We start from the raw sequence: 21,672 nt of genomic DNA on the forward strand, positions 1-21,672 counted from the left end.
AGTGAAACTCTGTCGCAAAAAAAAAAAAAAAAAAAAAAAAGTTGATCTTAAGTGTTCTCACCACATGCACACACACACAAATCATAACTATGTAAGGTGATGAATAAGTTAGCTTAAATGTAATCGTTTCACAATTATGCATAAATCAAAACATGTTGTACACCTTAAAGATATACAATTTTTACTTGTCAAGTATACCTCATAAAGCCAGAAAAAACTAAAATGATAGTAAGGGAATACTACAACTTTTAAATCATAAATTTGACAACTTAGAAGTAGAGGAGGAGGAAGAGGAAGAAGAAGAGGAAAGAAGGGCCATAGAGACTGGAAAGGAAAATATGACTGTTTCCACTACAGATGACATGATTGTCGATATAGAAGAACTCAAGCAACCTACATAAAAACCTTTCAGAACTAGTAAAAGAGCTCAGTAAGATTGCCGGACACAAGATCAACACATAAAAATCTAATGCATTTCTATTCTAAAAATGAACAGGTAGAAATACAAACAAATCATTCACAATTGTTCCAAAGAAAATGAAACCTTACGTATAAATCTAGAAACACATATACAGATTCTGTATGCTGAAAATTACCAAATGCTGATAAAAGAAATCAAAGAAGGCCTAAATAGTTGGAAAGACTTAACTATATTCATGGATTATAAGAGTCAACTTATTAAAGATGTCAATTCTTCACACATTGATCCATATGTATGATGTGATCCATATCAAAATTCTAGCCAAATTTTTGTAAACATAGACAAGATTATTCTAAAATTTATATGGACCGGGCTTGGTGGCTGACACCTGTAATCCCAGTGCTTTGAGAGGCCAAGTTGGGAGGATCACTTGGGCCCAGGAGTTCGAGACTAGCCTGGCAATATAGTTAGATCCTGCCTTCATAAAAAATAAAATAAAATAATTAGCCAAGGCTGGGTGCAGCGGCTCATGCCTGTAATCCCAGCACTTTGGGAGGCCAAGGTGGGCAGATCACTTGAGGTCAGGAGTTCGAGACCAGCCTGGCCAATATGGTGAAGCCCCGTTTCTACTAAAAATACAAAAATTAGACATGGTGGTGCACGCCTGTAGTCCCAGCTATTCAGGAGGCTGAGGCAGGAGAATCGCTTGAACCCGGGAGGCGGAGGTTGCAGTGAGCCAAGATCATCCCACTGCACTCCAGCCTGTATGATAGAGCTAGGACTCTGTCTCAAGAATAACAATAATAATAAAAATAGTAATAAATAATTAGCCGAGTATGTGGCAAACACCTGTAGTCCCAGCTTACTCAGTAGGCTGAAATGGGAGGATTTCTTGAGCCCAGAAGGTTGAGGCTGCAGTGCTACTGCACTAAAGCCTGGGCACAGAATGAGACCCTGCCTCAAAACTAACTAAATAAATAAAATTTATATAGAAAAGAAAAGGGCCAGAACAGGCAAAAGGAAATTGAAAATGAAGAGTAAAGTGGGAGAATCACTCTTCCCAATGTTAGAGCTTACTATATAACTACAGTATTTAAGACTATATGATATTGGTAGGGAGATATACACATGGATCGATGGAACAGATTAGAGAGGCCAGAAACAAACCTACCAAATATGACCAACTGACTTTTTACAAAGATGCAAAAGCAATTCAATGGAGATGGGATAGACTTTTTCACAAATAGTTCTTGAGCAAATTAATGATCATGGAGGATGTTCATTTGCTCAAGAACTATTTGAGCAAAAATACCATTTTGAGCCATGTTCAAAAAATGAACATCTCTCAACAAAATATTAAGGTAATAAAAGAATATATATAAAACTTTTTATACATTCAAATGGTATAGTATATAACAATGTATACATTGTATAAAAAGAATTATACACTGAGTGGGATTTATCCAAAGTATGCAAAGCTGTTTAATATTCAAAAAACAATTAATGCAATCCATCTCATCAACATATTAGAAAAGAAAATCTCTTTTTCTTTATCAGTAGATGCAATAGATGAAAAAAATAATTCTGACAAAATACGAAACCCATTTATGATCATTTAAAACACTCTCAGCAAACTACAAATAAAAGGGAACCCCCTCAACCTGATGAAGAACATCTACAAAGGAGCTACAGCTAATATCATACTTAATGGTGAGAAGCTAGATGCTTTCCCCCTAAAAGCAAGGAGGTCACCTCATACCACTCTTCGCCAGCATTGTAATAGAAATTCTAACTAATGCAACAAAGCAAGAAAAGGAAGCTATACAGATAGGGAAAGATGAAATAAAACTGTCTCTCTTCACAGATGATATGATTGTCTATGTAGAAAATCCCAAAGAATTGACAAAAATATTCCTGGAACTGCATGATAAGTGATTATATTAGGATTTCTGTATATAAGATTAATATAGGAAAGTCAATTGCTTTTTTTTTTTTTTTTTTTGAGATGGAGTCTCGCTCTGTCGCCCAGGCTGGAGTGCAGTGGTACAATCTCAACTCACTGCAAGCTCCACCTCCTGGGTTCACGCCATTCTCCTGCCTCAGCCTCCTGTGTAGCTGGGACTACAAGCGCCCGCCACCATGCCCCACTAATTTTTTGTATTTTTAGTAGAGACGGGGTTTCATCATGTTAGCCAGGATGGTCTCGATCTCCTGACCTCGTGATCTGCCCGCCTCGGCCTCCCAAAGTGCTGGAATCACAGGCATGAGCCGTCAATTGCTTTTTTACATACCAGCAATGAACAATTGAAGTCTGAAGTTAAAAACATAATAATAGTTAATTATAACATAATGCCATTTACAGTAGCACCCACAAAAAAAGGAGGAGGAGTAAGATGGGAAGTGGGAAGATAAAGGGGAGGGGGAATAGGAGGAGAAGGACAGCAACAATTTAGAAATAAATCTTACAAAATATGTGCAAGATTTATATGAGGAAAACTACAAAACTCTGATTAAACCAAAGAAGATTTCAATAAATGGAAAGATATTCCACATTCATTGACAGGAAGACTCAACATTGCAAAGATGTGATTTCTTCCCAAATATATCCACAGTCAATGTAATCCCAATCAAGCCTCAGCAAGTTATTTTGTGAATATCAACAAACTGAATCTAAAGTTTATACAGAAAGGCAAAAGACCCAGAACAGCCAACACAATATGGAAGAACAAAAGTGAGAGAACCAACACCACCTGATATAAAGGTATACTGTAGAGCTAGAATAATTAAGGTAATATGGTATTGGTGAAGGAATAGACAAATAGATCAAAGGCACAGAATAATGAGACCACAAATAGACCCACACAAATGGAGGCAACTGATCTTTGACAAAGGAGTGAAGACAATTCAATGGGAAAAGAGCAGACTTTTCAAAAAATGGTGCTAGAACAGCTGAATACCTGCTAAACACACACACACACACACACACACACACACACACACTAATCTAGGCCTTACACCTTTTAAAAGCGTAACTCCAAATTGACTGTAGACCTCACTGTAAAACACAAAATTACGAAACTTCTAGAATATAACAGCAGAAAAGTCTAGGTGACCTTGGGCTTGGGTTTGGCAATGAATTGTTAGATATGACATCAAACGCATGAACCATGAGAGAAAAAAAAATGTTAAGTTTGACTTCATTAAAATTAACCTTTTCTCTGAGAAAGACATTGTTAAGAGCATGAAGAGATAGGCCACAGATTGGGGGAAAGTCTTAGCAAAACACATATCTGCTAAAAGAACATATATACAAAATATATAATCAACTGTTAAAACTCAACGATAAGAAAACAAACAACCCACCTAAGAAATGGGCAAAGGATAGGAATAGACACCTCACCAAAGCAGGTATGTCAATGGTAAATAAGCATAATGAAAGATGTTCACCGTCACATGTCACTAGGGAATTTCAAAGTAAAACAAGATGCCACTACACGCCTATTGAAAGGCCAAAACAAAAATCAAAAACAAACAAACAAACAAAAAAACCCTGAAAATACCAAATGCTGGTGAGGATGTGGAGCAATAGGAACTCTCATTCATTGATGATGGAATGCAAAATGATACAGACACTTTGGAAGAGTTTACAGTTTCATATGAAGTTAAACATAGTCTTACTATAAAATCCAGCAATTGCGCTTCTAGATATTTAGCCAAATGAGTTGAAACCTTATGCTCACAAAAAACCTACATGCAAATGTTTGTAACAGCTTTATTCATAATTGCCAAAAACTGGAAGCAACCATAATGTCTTTCAAAGGGTAAATGAATAAGCAAACTGTGGAACATCCGTGCAATGGAATATTATACAGAAGTAAAAGAAAGGAGGTATCAAGTCACAGAAAGACATGGAGGAAACTGAAATGCATATTACTAAGTGAAGAAAGCCAGTCCAAAAAAGCTACATACATACAGTATGATTGCAACTATAAGACATCCTGGAAAAGGCAAAATTATGGTTGCCGGGGTGTTTATGGGGAGAGAAGGATTAATAGAGCACAGATAATTTTTAGGGCAGTGAAAACTGGATACATTACATTATGTATTTTTAAAACCCACAGAATGAACAACACAGTGAACCTTAATGTAAACTATGGACTTTAGTTAATAATAAATAAAGTGTCAAGGCCAGGTGTGGTGCCTCACACTTGGTATCCCAGCTTGTCACTAGGATTCACTTTTGAGAAGCTGAGGTGGGAGGATTATTTGAGGCCAGGAGTTCGAGACTGCAGTAAGCTACAATCACACCACTGCACTCCAGCCTGGGCAACACAGTGAGACCATCTTTAAAAAGCAAATACATAAACAAAAAGTGTGTAAAAATAAAGTGTGATAATTTTATCTTTACCTTGAAGGGCCTGAATTACATTTTTATTTTAAACTACCTGCAAGGTAACAGTCCAGTGGTCATTTGTTATCATAGAAAAGTTCAGCACATTTGAAGCAGCTCTCATAACAGAGTGTGGAATTCATGTGTAATTTGAAATCTTCTGAGCAGTCTGTGTAGAGGTAACTGGTCACCTCTGTATGGTACAAGACTGTCATGGCCACAGCCCATTTTATGAAGCATGCCATTATGACAATGCTGCTATATTTAAAAGGCCTTTTCTTTGTTCAGTTACCCATATTAATTGCATTCTACAGCATTCATCCACTCCTCTGTTGAACTTATTTTGCCAAGTTTACCTTTGAAGGACACGGTGAATTAATGTCACATGTGATGTCGTGTCTAGAAACTTACCCACCATCAGTGTTTCATTTTTGCCAAAGCCATTACTACATTACTGATTAACTTTTACTGATTTTCTTTCTTTTTTTTTTTTTTTGAGATGGAGTCTCGCTCTGTCGCCCAGGCTGGAGTGCAGTGGCGCCATCTTAGCTCACTGCAAGCTCCGCCTCCCGGGTTCACGTCATTCTCCTGCCTCAGCCTCCCAAGCAGCTGGGACCACAGGCGCCCGCCACCATGCGCTAATTTTTTGTATTTTTAGTAGAGACGGGGGTTTCACCTTGTTAGCCAGGATGGTCTCGATCTCCTGACCTCGTGATCTGCCCGCCTCAGCCTCCCAAAGTGCTGGGATTACAGGCGTGAGCCACTGCACCCGACCTCTGATTTTCTTTAAATTGCTTTTAAAATAAAGAAGTTATTTACTTTTGAGAATATACCTTTATTGAATACACACGTGGGTGATATTCAAAATACTTGAAAGCTGGCATTGCACAGGCATCTGAGTGCTCAGAAGCTGGCAGCCCTGGGGTGCAGGAGCCACCCTTCACAGGTGGGTTTGGAGTGGGTTGGGTGGTCAAGGTGGAAGAGACTTTCTCAGAGCAGTGGCTGCTCACTGATCTGCACAGAAGTGTGTCAAAGTGTTGACCACAGCTATAGTGGCACCCACACATACAGACTAATGGTCACTCTTAGGTAAATACAGATTTCAATATTGAAACTGATTCTGGTGAATACATGAACCAAGACCTATTCGAATATCTAAACTTTCTGTGTACTATAAAACAATATTCTCACATTGTAAATTTGTTTAAGTACTCATTTCTTCGAACCTTCAGCAAGGTTTCCTAAAATGTCACCTAACAACATATGCTTTAAGAATACATTTAAGTTTATTGCTTTGATATTTTCTGCATATTATTGTGGTAATTTTTTTTCTGTTTTTTTTTTTTTTTTTTTTGAGACAGAGTCTTGATCTGTTGTCCAGGCTGGAGTGCAGTGGCGCGATCTTGGCTAACTGCATGCTCCGCCTCCCGGGTTCACGCCATTCTCCTGCCTCAGCCTCCCGACTAGCTGGGACTACAGGCGCCGGCCACCATGCCTGGCTAATTTTTTGTATTTTTAGTAGAGACAGGGTTTCACCGTGTTAGCCAGGATGGTCTCGATCTCCTGACCTTGTGATCCGCCCACCTCGGCCTCCCAAAGTGCTGGGATTACAGGCTTGAGCCACCACGCCCAGCCTTATTGTGGTAATTTTCATCTCAGCAGAATGTTTTCCAAGTGATACATGATTTTTAATCTTTCTCTATTAAGACAGAAACTTCACAAAAGAGGCCTCCAAATGATCCTTATTAAGTTTAGTAAATTTTTGTAAAGTATCCAATGCAGCAACGCATGATCTTAAATGTCACTGAGAAGTATAGGAGTTAGTTTGAAAGTTTCCAATGCTTCATTTTTCTTTGCTTTTCTTTGTTATTTTTGTTTTAGATTCAGGGGGCCCGCATGCAGGTTAGTTACAAGCGTATATTGTGTGATGCTGAGGTTTGGGCTCCTGTTGATCCCATCGCCCAGATAGGAAGGTGTTCAGCCCTTCTCCCTCTTGGGGATCCCGGTGTCTATTGTTCCAGGCTCGCTTATAAGCAGGAGCTAACACTGGGTACCGTGAGCGTCACTGCTTCATTGTGAATGCCCTGCCAGGTCACACACTCATTAGCTAGTTTCTCCAGGCTCTGGTACGCTCGGGAAAGTTTGTCCAATTTGGAGAGCAGGATGTAAATTCATTTCTGGCTTCAGCAATTTTGCCATTTCCTTTTTTCTCCTGGCTTAGCCTTGACTGGATGGGCGTTTCAGGCCAGCTTTTCAAGACCTCATTCGTGGTTCCCCAGGATCTGCCTCTGCCATTTCTCCGAGGTCGCCTACTGGTTTTGCCTCATGAGCAGCCCATGGGTAGGCGTCATCTGCAGTAAACTGCGGTTTGGCTCAGGAAGCTAAAGTGAGAGATGTGAGCACCGGCTGCCCCACAGGTGCCCTCAGGGTAACCGCTTTACCGCAACTTGCCCATGAGGCCTGGGTCCCAGACAGCCTTGAGAAGGCCCTACTAACACGCACAGTGTCACAGCAGTGTGTGCTGTCTGTTTTTTAAAAATTACCATATAGGCTTTTGTCATACTCTTAGTAAATATTCACGTTCATAACTTATTTGGGATTGTTTTTGTTAAAGAGAATCCCCAAAGCTATAAAAGCTCCAGGCCCCACAGAGCCCAGCTTTGCCTGACGCATGGGACAGTGAGTTGCCCAGTCGGCCTCCATATGAAATACTAGTTAGGCTTAACTTCTTTTTCATTCTTAGAAAACAAAATGAAGAAAAGTTTTCTCCCTCCCCTATATGAGTGATTTTGTGCACCTTACCTTGAAGGACACTGACTTGAATTTCAGGGTTTTATTGCCCTTGGTAGGGGAAGAAGTTCTGTGTAAACCTCAATCACAACAGGCAGCCAGCCCGCTCTGAACCCAGAAACGAGATAACAGCTCCTGCAACGATAAACACCTGCAGATGAAACAACTCCTGCAACGATAAACACCTGCAGATGAGACAACTCCTGCAACGATAAACACCTGCAGATGAGACAACTCCTGCAATGATAAATACCTGCAGATGAGACAGCTCCTGCAACGATAAACACCTGCAGATGAGACGGCTCCTGCAACGATAAACAGCTGCAGATGAGACGGCTCCTGCAACGATAAACACCTGCAGATGAGACGGCTCCTGCAAGGATAAACACCTGCAGATGAGACGGCTCCTGCAACGATAAACACCTGTAGATGAGACAGCTCCTGCAACGATAAACACCTGCAGATAAGGTGCCGTCGGACAGGCGTCTCGGTGGACCTGCTTGGTTTTTGTTTTGTTTGTTTTTTGTTTTTTGTTTGTTTTTTTGTTTTTTGTTTGTTTGTTTGTTTGTTTGAGACAGAGTCTCCCAGGCTGGAGTGCAGTGGCTTGATCTCGGCTCACTGCAACCTCCACCTCCCGGGCTCAAGCGATTCTCCTGCCTCAGCCTCCCGAGTAGCTGGGATTACAGGCGCCCGCCACCACGCCCAGCTTAATTTTTGTATTTTTAGTGGAGACGGGGTTTCACCGTGTTAGCCAGGATGGTCTCAATCTCCTGACCTCGTGATCTGCCTGCCTCAGCCTCCCAAAGCAGGACCTGCCTGTTTTGAGGGGGATACAAAAAGAACACAAATCATCTGTCCTGTAGCAGTTTGCAGCTGGCTAGGAAGATGAAGCACCAGGTCGAAGCACCAGGAGGCCGACTGCAGCAAAGGCCAACTAGAGTGGTGTGGAGTAGAAAGGAAGGGCCTACGGGGATTGAGGGAAGGCGGAACACGGTGGTGGACACTTTGGGTGGTCTTTGAAGAAATGCTTTGAAGAGTTGAGGAGGGAAAAAGGAAAGGATACGCGATGGGGGAAGAGATCATGAAAGCCTAAAATACAAGTGCCCTAGTCCAAAGATGGGGAAGAGACCGCCAGCTGGAAAGGCTGAGCAGAGAGGGCGAATGTGAATGTCCCATCCCAGGACTTGACCTTGCCCAACAGGAAACGGGTGGCCTTTGAGTGGGCGTAGACTGTCAGGCAATGTTACAGGAAGATCCGTCTCCTGGTGGTGTGCAAGGTGCTGCGGGGGAAAGGTGATGAGTTACGAGAGGTTCTAGTGACATCTACAAGGCAGATGGGAGTCAGGGTCAGGGAGACCATAAAGAAGCAGCAAGATATGTCCCTACCCCCCAACCCCAGCCAAACCTCAAATGTATACAATCCGGCGTTTTTCAGAAAATGCTTGCAAAGCCCTGGAACATACCAGCACAAAGTCCCAGCTCTGATAGTAACTGCTGATTCAAATTAACCAGTGAATCACTTAAACATTTTGTTTCTTTAAAGTATGTTTTTCCTCCTAGTGGACACAGCTGACTTGGTGACCCAGTGCCTGGCCCTTTCAAGTCGGTTTCCTTAATCAAACCACAAACCAACAGATAAGTGGGGAGGAGCAGGGGTGAAGAGAGCAGCCCCAGCCCAGTGCCTCCTGCTGTTCCAGCAGGGACACACCCCCCCCACCCCCACCCCACCCCCAGGGATCAAAGAGAGCCTGGCTCTCCTGCACGCTCTCCACAGGGGAGAAAAACGCCTAATATAATTAAAAATACCCTGCAATTTGGTATGATCTGAAGCTGTGACATTTTGTTACCAAGGATTAAGGCTTATGGAGAGCAGTCGACTCACCACCAATTTAGAAGATCCTGAATGTTGAACCTTCTGTGTAGAGAACTCACTATCTGGTGTCTGCTGGAATATTTTCTCAGATCTACTCACTTCCGTGTGTAGAAACCATTTTCAAGGTGGAAGACACAGCATTTCCTTTCCACATCAAAGGCCGTTGGCCCAAAGCTGAAAAATTTCACTCAACAAACAGTGTGATCCCATTTGATCAATGAAAAGAATAGGAAAAAGGAAAGAAATATGGAAACATGCACATTGATGGCCAGTCTTACGTGTCAGGCTGTGTGTTAGATGGCTCGATCACATTTATTCATTCCATAAACTATTTCTTGAGCCTCCTCTCAGACTGTGCCAGCCACGTGGGCCTGTAGGGAGCACTGCCAGGCAGGATTCCCACCTTGGCAGAGCCCACAATTCACCACCAGGGAGACAGATGTTGATCCAGTGACCACAGAAATACATCTGCAGCTACAACTGGGCAAGTGCTACAGGGGAAAGGGACTTACCTCATCCCTGAGAACCTATAATACAAGGGAGATTCAACATTTATCAGGAGGTAGAAAATGCTTCTCCAGGAGTATAAGGCTTGAGCCAGCCTCTGCACAATGCGGAGGGGTTCGCTGGGTGCAAGACGGAGGAGGGAGTCTGGGAAGAGTCCGGGCGGGGAGGAGGTGCAGGGGTCTCTTTATGAGAGGGGGCAGGGCCCCTGAGATAAGAGCTGGGACACGGCAGAGGCAGACCACACTGGGTAGACGTGTCGGTCACACTCAGGGTTCTGGTCTTTATCTTCAGAGCACTCGGAAGACACTAAAATGTCTTGAGAAGGACGCTGACATGAGCATAGATGTGCTTTGAAACTATTACCCTAACAGATGTGAAGGAGCTCTTCAAGGAGGACTACAGACCACCGCTCAACCAAATAAGAGAGAATAAAATACCTAGGAATCCAACTTACCAGGGATGTGAAGGATCTCTTCAAGGAGAACTACAGACCACCGCTCAACCAAATAAGAGAGCACACAAACAAATGGAAGAACATTCCATGCTCATGCATAGGAAGAATCAACATCATGAAAATGGCCATACTGCCCAAGGTAATTTATAGATTCAGTGCTACCCCTATCAAGCTACCAATGACTTTCTTCACAGAATTGGAAAAAACTACTTTAAAGTTCATATGGAACCAAAAAAGAGCCTGCATTGCCAAGACAACCCTAAGCCAAAAGAACAAAGCTGGAGGCATCACATTACCTGGCTTCAACCTGTACTACAAGGCTACAGTAACCAAAACAGCATGGTACTGGTACCAAAACAGAGATATAGACCAATGGGTCAGAACAGAGCCCTCAGAAATAATGCCACATATCTACAACCATCTGATCTTTGACAAACCTGACAAAAACAAGAAATGGGGAAAGGATTCCCTATTTAATAAATGGTGCTGGGAAAACTGGCTAGCCATATATAGAAAGCTGAAACTGGATCCCTTCCTTACACCTTATACAAAAATTAATTCAAGATGGATTAAAGACTTAAATGTTAGACCTAAAACCATAAAAACTCTAGAAGAAAACCTAGGCAATACCATTCAGGACACAGGCATGGGCAAGGACTTCATGACTAAAACACCAAAAGCAATGGCAATGAAAGCCAAAATAGACAAATGGAATCTAATTAAACTAAAGAGCTTCTGCACAGCAAAAGAAAGTACCATCAGAATGAATAGGCAACCTACAGAATGGGAGAAAAATTTTACAATCTACCCACCTGACAAAGGGCTAATATCCAGAATCTACAAAGAACTTAAACAAATTTACAAGAAAAAATCAAACAACCCCATCAAAAAGTGGGCAAAGTATATGAACAGACACTTCTCAAAAGAAGACATGTATGCAGCCAACAGACACATGAAAAAATGCTCATCATCACTGGTCATCGGAGAAATGCAAATCAAAACCACAGTGAGATACCGTCTCACACCAGTTAGAATGGCAATCATTAAAAAGTCAGGAAACGACAGGTGCTGGAGAGGATGTGGAGAAATAGGAACACTTTTACACAGTTGGTAGGACTGTAAACTAGTTCAACCATTGTGGAAGACAGTGTGATGATTCCTCAAGGATCTAGAACTAGAAATACCATTTGACCCAGCCATCCCATTACTGGGTGTATACCCAAAGGATTATAAATCATGCTGCTGTAAAGACACATGCACACATATGTTTACTGTGGCACTATTCACAATAGCAAAGACTTGGAACCAACCCAAATGTCCATCAGTGATAGACTGGATTAAGAAAATGTGGCACATATTCACATGGAATACTATGCAGCCACAAAAAAGGATGAGTTCATGTCCTTTGTAGGGACATGGATGAAGCTGGAAACCATCATTCTGAGCAAACTATCCCAAGGACAGAAAACCAAACACCGCATCTTCTCACTCATAGGTAGGAATTGAACAATGAGAACACGTGGACACAGGATGGGGAACATCACACACATGGGCCTGTCATGGGGTGGGGGAGGCGGGAGGGATAGCATTAGGAGATATACCTGATGTAAATGAAGAGTTAATGGGTGCAGCACACCAACATGGCACATGTATACATATGTAACAAACCTGCCCTTTGTGCATATGTACCCTAGAACTTAAAGTATAAGAAGAAGAAGAAGAAGAAGAAGAAATTATTACCCTAACAAAAAACTAATATAAGAAGACAAAGAAGGGAGGCAGTGAGGCCAGGAGAGGTCCGCATGGTGAAGGATGAGGGCTGCCCCCCACCTAGTGAGGATGGGGAGGGACAGATGCCCAAGCACCCAAAGCTATTGGCTGTTGGGGAGATTAGCAACAAGTGCAGGAGTGGATCAGGGAGTGAGGAGAGGGTGAAGGAAGGGATCATTCCCAGGTGACAGCTTGCATGATATTCCCTTTATAGCACCATGTCTAATCCTCCCCAACCTTGTCCTCTGAGCCTTGCAGAGCACATGCCGAAACAGTAAGGGGGACTATGCTCCCTGACCACCTCCCAGCCCCCAGGGGCTCCTCTCGCTCTGCAGGCTGTGTTTCTCACCTAAGCCACACTGGCCCTCAGGACTCCCAGGACTCCCCTTGAAATAGACAGATAAGTGCCCAGGCAGGCTAAGCTGCAGGACCTGTGCCTTGCATGTGGCTCTGTGGCTCAGCATCCTCCAAATTGACACTCACTGGGGGTCGTCCCTGATGATCCCAGCTAAAGCCAAGTATATTTGTAATCGTAATTTCAGATTGTAATACAATATTTATATAATCCGGTAAAATATGACTGTGGAAGGGGGTTATTCCTTAAAAATAAACCAAAACACCACGCTGTTTTAGGAAAAAGTGATAAAGGTAAGTCACCTAACAGACCACCAACAAATTGAGTGGAGATGAGAGAACTGAAAAAGCTTGAGAAGCAATCTCTGCTCAGCCCGGGTTGTGGGGTAGTGGAAGTAATCATGTAATAGAATCTACTGCAGGCAGTCCACTTGGGGTCTGCTCTTTCCCAGCTCCTCTGGATCACACTCTACATTCCCAAGTCCATTTGGGTCTTGTTTTGTGCTTTCTGTTTGGTTCACATGATCTCCGTGGCAGTACCACAGTATCTGATAGGGCAAATCCATCCTGGTTGCTCTTCTAGATGTGGACTTCACATCTTAAATAGTACTCTTCGATTTTGGTTGATTAAGTAGAGGGAACCTATAGATTCATGGTCCAAATTATAACAGCACAATTTATAGAGCCATCTGGCTTGGCTAGTAGGCAGTTAATATTAGAAATTGATTGATTCTGGAAGCCTTTCATGTAAACATGTTTAAAGCTAAATCTATGATCATGCATTCATCCAACAAGTTTTTCACGAAGAGCCAAGGTTTTTCCATTGAGTTTGGGTCTGCTGATTAGAGTTTTGTGGGTTTTCTTGCATCCTTAAAACCTTTAGAAGATACCTTACTCTTCAACTCTGCAGTTACAAGGGTATATTGGCAGGTGTATCGGCAATTCTAGTTCTAAATTTTCATCTCATTATGCTCTTACAGAATAATTTCCATAAGGTTTTACCTGGCACAAGAATCGGCATTCCATTGGGAGGCCATCCCTGCACCCCACCCCATGCTAGGATCCCCAGCATCCCCTGCATGGCTCTTTCCTTATCTGGTCCTGTGTTCTGAGTTTGCTAGTCTCCTCCTCAGTCAGGCTGTAAGCACCTAGCCCACGGGCACGATGTCTTGTACTGTTCCCAGCCTATCATACAACTGCTTTCACACCACAAGTGCTCCTTACATATTTAAGTAATGAATGTCCCTGTCTTTCATAGCTATTGCTATGAATAACTATTGTTAGGAGTATCGTAAGAATGACTTGGGACTAGAGTCCAGTAGCCTGGAGTTCCCTCCGTGTTCTGTTTTACAGTCAGGAAGGATAATCCATATTTTACCTGCCGGTGCCATTCAGTAGGAATTCCTGCAGCAATCCAGACTTTCTTTACCCACTCTCTCCAATGCAGTGGCCACTAGCTGCACGTGGCTATGGAGCACTTGAAATGTGGCTAGTACGACTGAGGAATTAAATTTAATTTTACCTAACTGTATTGAATTTAAACTTACAGTCACATGTGACTAGTGGCCACAGCCTTGGGCAGAAGGGATCTAGACTAATTGCCTTGTTTTCCAAGTGGGAAAACCGGGTCCCAGGCAGTTAGATGATTGGTTAATTTTACTACTAAGTAGTCAGAGACCATCAAACACTCCAATAATGATATCATGAGGATCTGTGGGTTGGTTACTGGGGTTAATTTGTACCCTACAAGGAAAGATATAAAGTATTTATGCTTCTTTTAATACGTTTGAAGAGACGATTATAAGATTCTTTCTCAACTTTATGCTGGCCTGGAAATGGCCTTTCAGAATGCTCTGAGTTCCCATTTTAGAATGGACATTAGAGATTTTAAATTTGATCTATATTGTCTATATTTCATTAAACAGAAAATCAAGACCATTGTTAAAATAAGTTTGGAAATCACAAAGCTGTCAAGTATAAGGACAGTGTAGTTTGTGCTGTGTAGTTTGAAGGAAATCTTTCATGCTTTGATCACGTGCATAGTTCAAACTGGAGACTCAAACCGCATAATCCAGCAAGATCTCCTGGAGAATGAACAGTATCAGGTGCACACACAATCCTCCAGGACATTTCGTGCTAAACTATGTGAAAGTGGCAGAATAACTAAAAATCTTGGAGTCTTCTTTTAAACTAAAAGAGAAAAACCCTGAAAGCCAAGTGGAAAGAAAAAGCATTCATTGGAGATTAAAATTCGGATGTGAAATTGAGAGGAAAATGTTAACACCACAGCTTCCCTTCACGTCCTTATCATTTCTTTAAGAGAAAAGCAAGAAAATTTAAGGAGAAAATGTGTGGGGAAGATGCAGGAAGGACACGAGGTGGTGGCTTTGTACAGTTTCACCTTCAACTTGAATGGAGAGCACTCTGCGTATGTGTGTTATTTACAGATACACATCTGTATTGGCCTTAAGTGTAGCACCCTCAGTTAAAATAACCCATTTCTCTTCACAAAGTTACGCTGAAACCAGGAAAGCCTTGGAGAGTTGGTATTAAAATGCTGAGAATCCGGCAGACCTGAGTGTTCCGAGGAGGTGCGTCTTTCCTTGTAAAGCTGGCCCATAGCTGCTGTCAACATACCTGGGACACCAATTTAAAAAGGAAAAAGGAAGTGGTCAAAGTCATGCTTTTTGCAGACTTCAAAGGTGATCCCTCCCTCCCCCTCTTTACATTTTACTGTCTGGGAGCTGACGGGTCTGCAGCTGTTGGCAGAGGCTGTTCTGGGCGTCAAACCTGCCTCCTCACGGCCCATAAAACTGCAGCGGGAACCGGAGCAGGTGTGGGCGGGGCGGGCAGGACGCCCTTCAGGGTCTCCCTGACATCCCATGCTGTGTGGGTGGGGGGAGGGAGGCTTGTGGGGGCTTCCCTGTGGGGTCCTCCCTTTCCACAGCCAGGGCGTTGGGGTAGCTGCCCACCCAGTTGCTGAGGGAGCTGAGGCCTCTGCAGCACAAGTCCACCAAGACTTGGGCCCCCAAAGGAGGACCGCGGAGAAGCCAAAGTAACCCAGACACTTGGTAATCCACGTTTTTGGTGTTTTGTTGTTTGTTTTATAAGCCTTAAACAGCAGCAAGTACTAGAACAAAACACCTCTACAATCTACAAGTCCGGGTTCTTTTCCTCCTCAAACTGGGAGAAAGAAATACAAAATCAGACTTGTTTTCAAAGATGTCAGATATCTATTGGCATTTAATAGTAAGAATGCGATACATTTGCCCTTTTTCTTTTCTTCACGCGATAGAACAAATCAGTAGTTATAGAATGCCTCTTAGTCGATTGCAATGAAAAGTTGCAAATCACAGCTCATTATGGCTTCTTGTTTTGTGCCAGTATTTTAGAAGGGAAAAAACAGAAAATCAATTTACTTAAAGCAATCTTAAAAATGTCTTTTTTTAATTACACTCATTGAGAAATACGCACACTTCTTTAAAGAAATGGAAAAGCAAGCGGAAGTGGCCTTTTGCAAAAGACAGAAAGAGGGAAGAGGGAAAGGACCATCCAGGTCTGAAGAGCAAGAGAATCAGGCCTGCAACATTAATGAAGCCCCACTGTGTGCCAAGTAGTGGGTGCTTCACGGCATTGGGGCAGGAGGGGAGGTAGGAGTGAGGGCAGTGAAGGAAAAAAACATGAAGGAATTATTAAAAGTCCTGTTTTGTTTTGTTTTTTCCCTCAAGGGTATTACTTTATAATGGAGATGCCCAACAAATAAACACAAAATGGACTTAAATACATTTTAAAAATCAGCAGCCAATAATTTATTTTATACCCTTCAATTATTTTCGCTCTTTACTATAATGTTTGCATGATACATAACACTGCTTATCGAGGTCATAATTTCGATAATTGTTTCTATCGGGTTCCATACTTTAAAATCTGCGGAAAACTGATGGGGGTTGGGGTTTAGTGACCCCTGAGAACATTTCTATTAAGATTGATAGAAAACACGGCCGGGCGCGGTGGCTCACGCCTATAATCCCAGCACTTCGGGAGGCCGACGAGGGCGGATCACTAGGTCAGGAGATCGAGACCATCCTGGCTAACACGGTGAAACCTCGTCTCTACTGAAAATACAAAAAAAAATTAGCCGGGCGTGGTGGCGGGCGCCTGTAGTCCCAGCTACTCGGGAGGCTGAGGCAGGAGAATGGGGTGAACCCGGGAGGCGGAGCTTGCAGTGAGCCGAGATAGCACCACTGCAGTTGGCCTGGGCGACAGAGCGAGACTCCGTCTCAAAAAAAAAAAAAAAGAAAAAAGAAAACACACACACACACACACACACACACACACACACACACACCACCACCACCATTCGGAATTGAAATAACCCTTTCAATACTGTAGAATTAGAAGAAACTTTAAGGCCGGACGTCGTGGCTCACGCCTGTAATCCCAGCACTTTGGGAGGCCGAGGCGGGCGGATCACGAGGTCAGGAGTTCAAGATCAGCCTGGCCAAGATGGTGAAACCCCATCTCTACTAAAAATACAAAAAAAATTAGCTGGGTGCGGTGGCAGGCGCCTGTAGTACCAGCTACTCAGGAGGCTGAGGAAGGAGAATCATTTGAACCCGGAGGGTGGAGGTTGCAGTGAGCCGAGATTGTGCCACTGCACTCCAGCCTGGGTGACAGAGTGAAACTCCATCTCAAAAAAAAAAAAAAAAAAAAAGGATGAAACTTTAAAATGTTATCATTTGGTAAACATTTTCTGAGAATCTACCATATGTCAGGCATTGGCTAGGATTGTGACACATAAGGATTAAACATAAAATAGAGTGTAGTTTAAACAGAAGACATTTTAAACACAATGTAGTTTAAAAGACACATGAGTTGTTTCAATTTATTTTCCCATAATTTAAGTCCAGTAAAGAGAATCACAAAGCTAATATCCACAAAGATTAGAGGTCTGAAAACTACATTCTAGTGGCCAAATCTGTGACTTTTTATATTTTTTAAGTTGTTAAAAAAGGAAAGAAAGAAGAGGATCAACAACAGAAACTGAATGTGGCCTTCAAAGTCTGTAATGATGGCTCTCTAGCCCTTTCCAGGAAATGTTTGCCTAGATTATAAGAACATCTAGAACAAAGCCACACTTCAGCACATTCTTCTCTTCTTATTCTCCAAGTTTGCAGAGTGTCAGATATTTTGGGCTTCTCTATTTAATTTAAATTAATTTTAAACTTATTTCAGAATTCCTGGCTTAGTATTTATTATGGAGTGTATTTCTTAATGAAGAAATCGGTATATTACACATTTCAACAGTATTCAAACTCTATTGATTTCTGAAACCTCTCTGTGACCACTTTCCAATGCTAACCTCTTCCTACCCAAATATTTTTACACGGTTAAAATAACATATATTGGGTCATCCACATTCTTAAGGATCGTGGTTTCTAATTGCAGTCAAGTCATTACGATTGTTTCATTTGGAGACAAGACTAGTTTTCTGGTGTAATTGAAGACAGGGCTTTAATCAGCAAAATTGTAATCCTAGACCATAAAATTAAGCCTGTGCACTCTAATAAAATATATGGTTAAGCAAAATTTCATATTATGTCAATTTCTACAAGGAATAAACAATGCAGCCACTTTGATGTCCACAGATCAATCTACATGCTCGTCTTTTGATCATTTATTTGGATACAGTAAACTACTCATATGCTGAAATTGGAATTTTCAGAATTTTTACTTCATACATCCTACATTACTTTTAAGCATATTTAGAATGAATGGAAATGTATACATCATGAGAAATTCAGGCAAAACAAATCAACCTGGATTTATTTAATGCATATAAGAGAATCTGAAAAAAGAAAATCACACCAGAAAATTTATTTTGTATTTTCCTCATTTTATGGATTGATTATATGTTTGCTCAATGTAAACATAACAAAAGCATGTTTTCTTGGAACTAGGCAAAATAAAAGTTTGATCCTTGATCTAAGTAGAGGATACAGTTAGTTCCTAAAACCAATGACTCCATTTGGCTTGTGCCCATTTGAGGTCATTAATGCCATTTGTACTACACAGGGCCGCAGCCTCATCTCCCAGCTGGCTGGATCCAACAGAGACAGGCAGGAGATGTATATTACAACTTACCTCCACGACCAGTAGGATCTGACTAAGTGCATTTTTCCTGCTACAGTTAGGCAACTGCACGTAAAACCCCCAACCAAAGTTATACAACAGCAACAACAACCCATGTTGTTTCTAAATCTGCATAATTGCAGGCAATTTTGTCAGCTACAACTATACATTTTCCAAAGTATATGTCTTCCAATCCCTCGGCATAGAACTTAGGAAGACAAATTCCTATAGCCCAGTGGATTCTGCCCAGTTGCAAAGTTCCGGGGCAGACATGCTTCAAAATAGATATGGTTCACAGAAGATGAGTGGAGGATTTGAGGACAAAGGAGGTTTACAGGTTTCCTTCAGTGTTCCAACCCATTTGGGAAAAAGAAATATTGAGGCGCGTGAATGTAACTTTCTTTCACTTAAAATAAAAAGGCTTAAGTGAGAATGGTGCCTTCTACCTTGACGGGCCAAGCAGCTGAACTCCCTCTCAGCAAGAGCTTTCTGTCCGTGGAGGCTGGGCTTCGAGCCACTCCAGGAAGGAGACGCTGAGATGCTGAAGCCCTGCATGAGATCTGACTTGACGGCATCCCTCTGTGGCTCACCAACCAAGCTCGCATCCCTCTCCCATAGGAAAGAATAAAACTGTGCCGGGATCCAGGGGATGTAAAGCTGTTTTTCAAATTGTGAAATGCTCACAGAAAGTGGCTGTGTCATCTGAATACTGCGTTTATTCTGAAGAACGACAAAATTATAAGAAGAGACACAGTGTCATGTTCTCTATTATTTTCACTTCTTTACTTCATATTCCTACCAGAAATTCCAAACTTAACATCGCTATCATTTTTTTAAATGAAATAATTTGAAGATATAAGAAAGGAAGCGACCCTATTTAATGAGTGGTAAGTTTGTGAGAGGAGCTTTATATAACTTAATTTGATTCGCTGAACTCTTCAGTAACCCTGTGGGGTGGGAATTATTGCTCCCATTTTAAGGATGAGAAAACTGAAACGTGGAGAAATAGACTTACCTGAGGTTTGCAACAAATAATTGAGAGAACCAGGATAAAAACTCAACATTTGGCTGACTCAGAATTACTTGAAAATATTGCATGTCACAGTTTAAATATTTTCCAATAAAGCTAAGAAAGTAAAGTGCTTTGAGGCATAATTGTGAATATCCTGTAAGCAGTAAATAAGCTTTAAAAAGTATATTTTTTCCTACTTCTCTATTCATGTCTTGATTGAATCGAATCAATATTTTGACCATTCACAATGAGCGAGAATGTGTCTGAGCAGTCACTAACCTCTCTGAGAAATGCAGTAATAAATCTGCAGTTCCCACAGAGAGGTCCCACAGTGTCATTAATAATAGTAACAGCTGACCAGGCGCAGTGACTCACACCTGTAATCCCAGCACTTTGGGGGACCAAGGCAGGGGGATCATGAGGTCAGGAGTTCGAGACCAGCTTGACCAACATGGTGAAACCCCATTTCTACTAAAAATACAAAAATTAGCTGAGCATGGTGGTGCATGCCTGTAATCCCAGCTTCTCAGGAAGCTGAGGCAGAAGAATCACTTGAATCCAGGAGGCAGAGGTTATAGTGAGCCGAGATCGCACCACTGCACTCCAGCCTGGGCGACAGAGCGAGACTCCATTTCAAATAATAATAATAATAATAGTAACAACTTTACATTTATAAGACGTTGCCCCACGTATTATCACATGCCGTTCTCATAGCCCAGTTTGGTGGTTAGGACTTCATTCATTCATTCACCCATTGTACTTTAGATATTTATTTCATTCCTATGAACTCAGCCTAGGACTGTGCAGGCCTTCGGAAGGGAGAGATAAAAAGATCTATTTCTAGCCTAAAGCCACTCACTGTCTTGTATGAGGGCCACTGATGAAACGAAAACACAAGGTAAGTGAAAACACTCTCCATGTTGAAAATACATAACCTAATCAGTATTCTCAAAAGAAAATAAAGTATTCGACACATAGAGCCCACCAGTTTGAGACATGGTAATAGGTACCTGTTTTTCCTTCATTATATAGCCTTTATTCCTTCCATTTTAATACCCATAAATTGGTTCTAATATTGCTCACGAAAAGTGTATTACGTAGAGAGGTAAGTCATTTCTCTCAAGTCACCAAAATGTTCTTCATGGCAAAGGAAAAAGGTTTCCTGAAATGGACCTTTTTTTTTTTTTTTTAGACGGGGTCTCGCTGTCGCCCAGGCTGGAGTGCAGTGGCGCTGTCTCGGCTCACTGCAAGCTCCGCCTCCCGGGTTCACGCCATTCTCCTGCCTCAGCCTCCTGAGTAGCTGGGACTACAGGCCCCCGCCACCAGGCCCAGCTAATTTTTTTGTATTTTTAGTAGAGACCGGGTTTCACCGTGTTAGCCAGGATGGTCTCGATCTCCTGACCTCGTGATCCGCCCGCCTCGGCCTCCCAAAGTGCTGGGATTACAGGCGTGAGCCACCGCGCCCGGCCTTGAAATGGACCTTTTAACCCGACACATCCCTCCCCCACAAAAAAATAAAATGAAAAGGAAGTGAACTTTCAGCGATTATCTTTGAAAGTCACACGTTCTCACAAATACGCCTGTAGATGGTGCTGTACTGAGCATTCTCTTTCGGATGCAATGACCACAGTCAGAAAACTTGTCCTGTTTCCAGCACAGTAGGGTGACCACATCCTCCTACTTTGGGCATGAGCTGTGCTCAGAAAACATGTCATGTGAACAAAAGCATCAGACTGGGGTTGGGGAGGAGATCGTCTCCCTCCTTGGAGCTGATCAATGCATGCATTGGAACCAGCGGTGGGGGTCCCAGTAACCCCCTTTCCACCCAAGTGATCATCACCGTGACGCATCTCGGGAGTGGGATCCAGTCTGAAGAATCCTCGTCCCTGAGAAGTTTTAAATCTAGAAGCTGATGATCAGGGCTGACGATGAAGAGTGTGTGTGGGTAGAAAGAGGGAGGACGCTGCTT

General features: G+C 42.2%; 1 annotated feature.

Annotated features, from left to right (window-relative positions):
• Positions 10,123 to 10,309: a silencer, noted in NCBI's record as "fragment chr6:166637642-166637828 (GRCh37/hg19 assembly coordinates)". NCBI's record gives its function as "represses an EF-1alpha promoter that drives an FKBP-Casp9 reporter gene in an ReSE screen in HepG2 liver carcinoma cells {active_cell/tissue: HepG2}" and the evidence as "EXISTENCE:reporter gene assay evidence [ECO:0000049][PMID:32094911]".

This window comes from Homo sapiens, chromosome 6, assembly GCF_000001405.40.
Source record: "Homo sapiens chromosome 6, GRCh38.p14 Primary Assembly".
Classification (NCBI taxonomy): domain Eukaryota; kingdom Metazoa; phylum Chordata; class Mammalia; order Primates; family Hominidae; genus Homo; species Homo sapiens.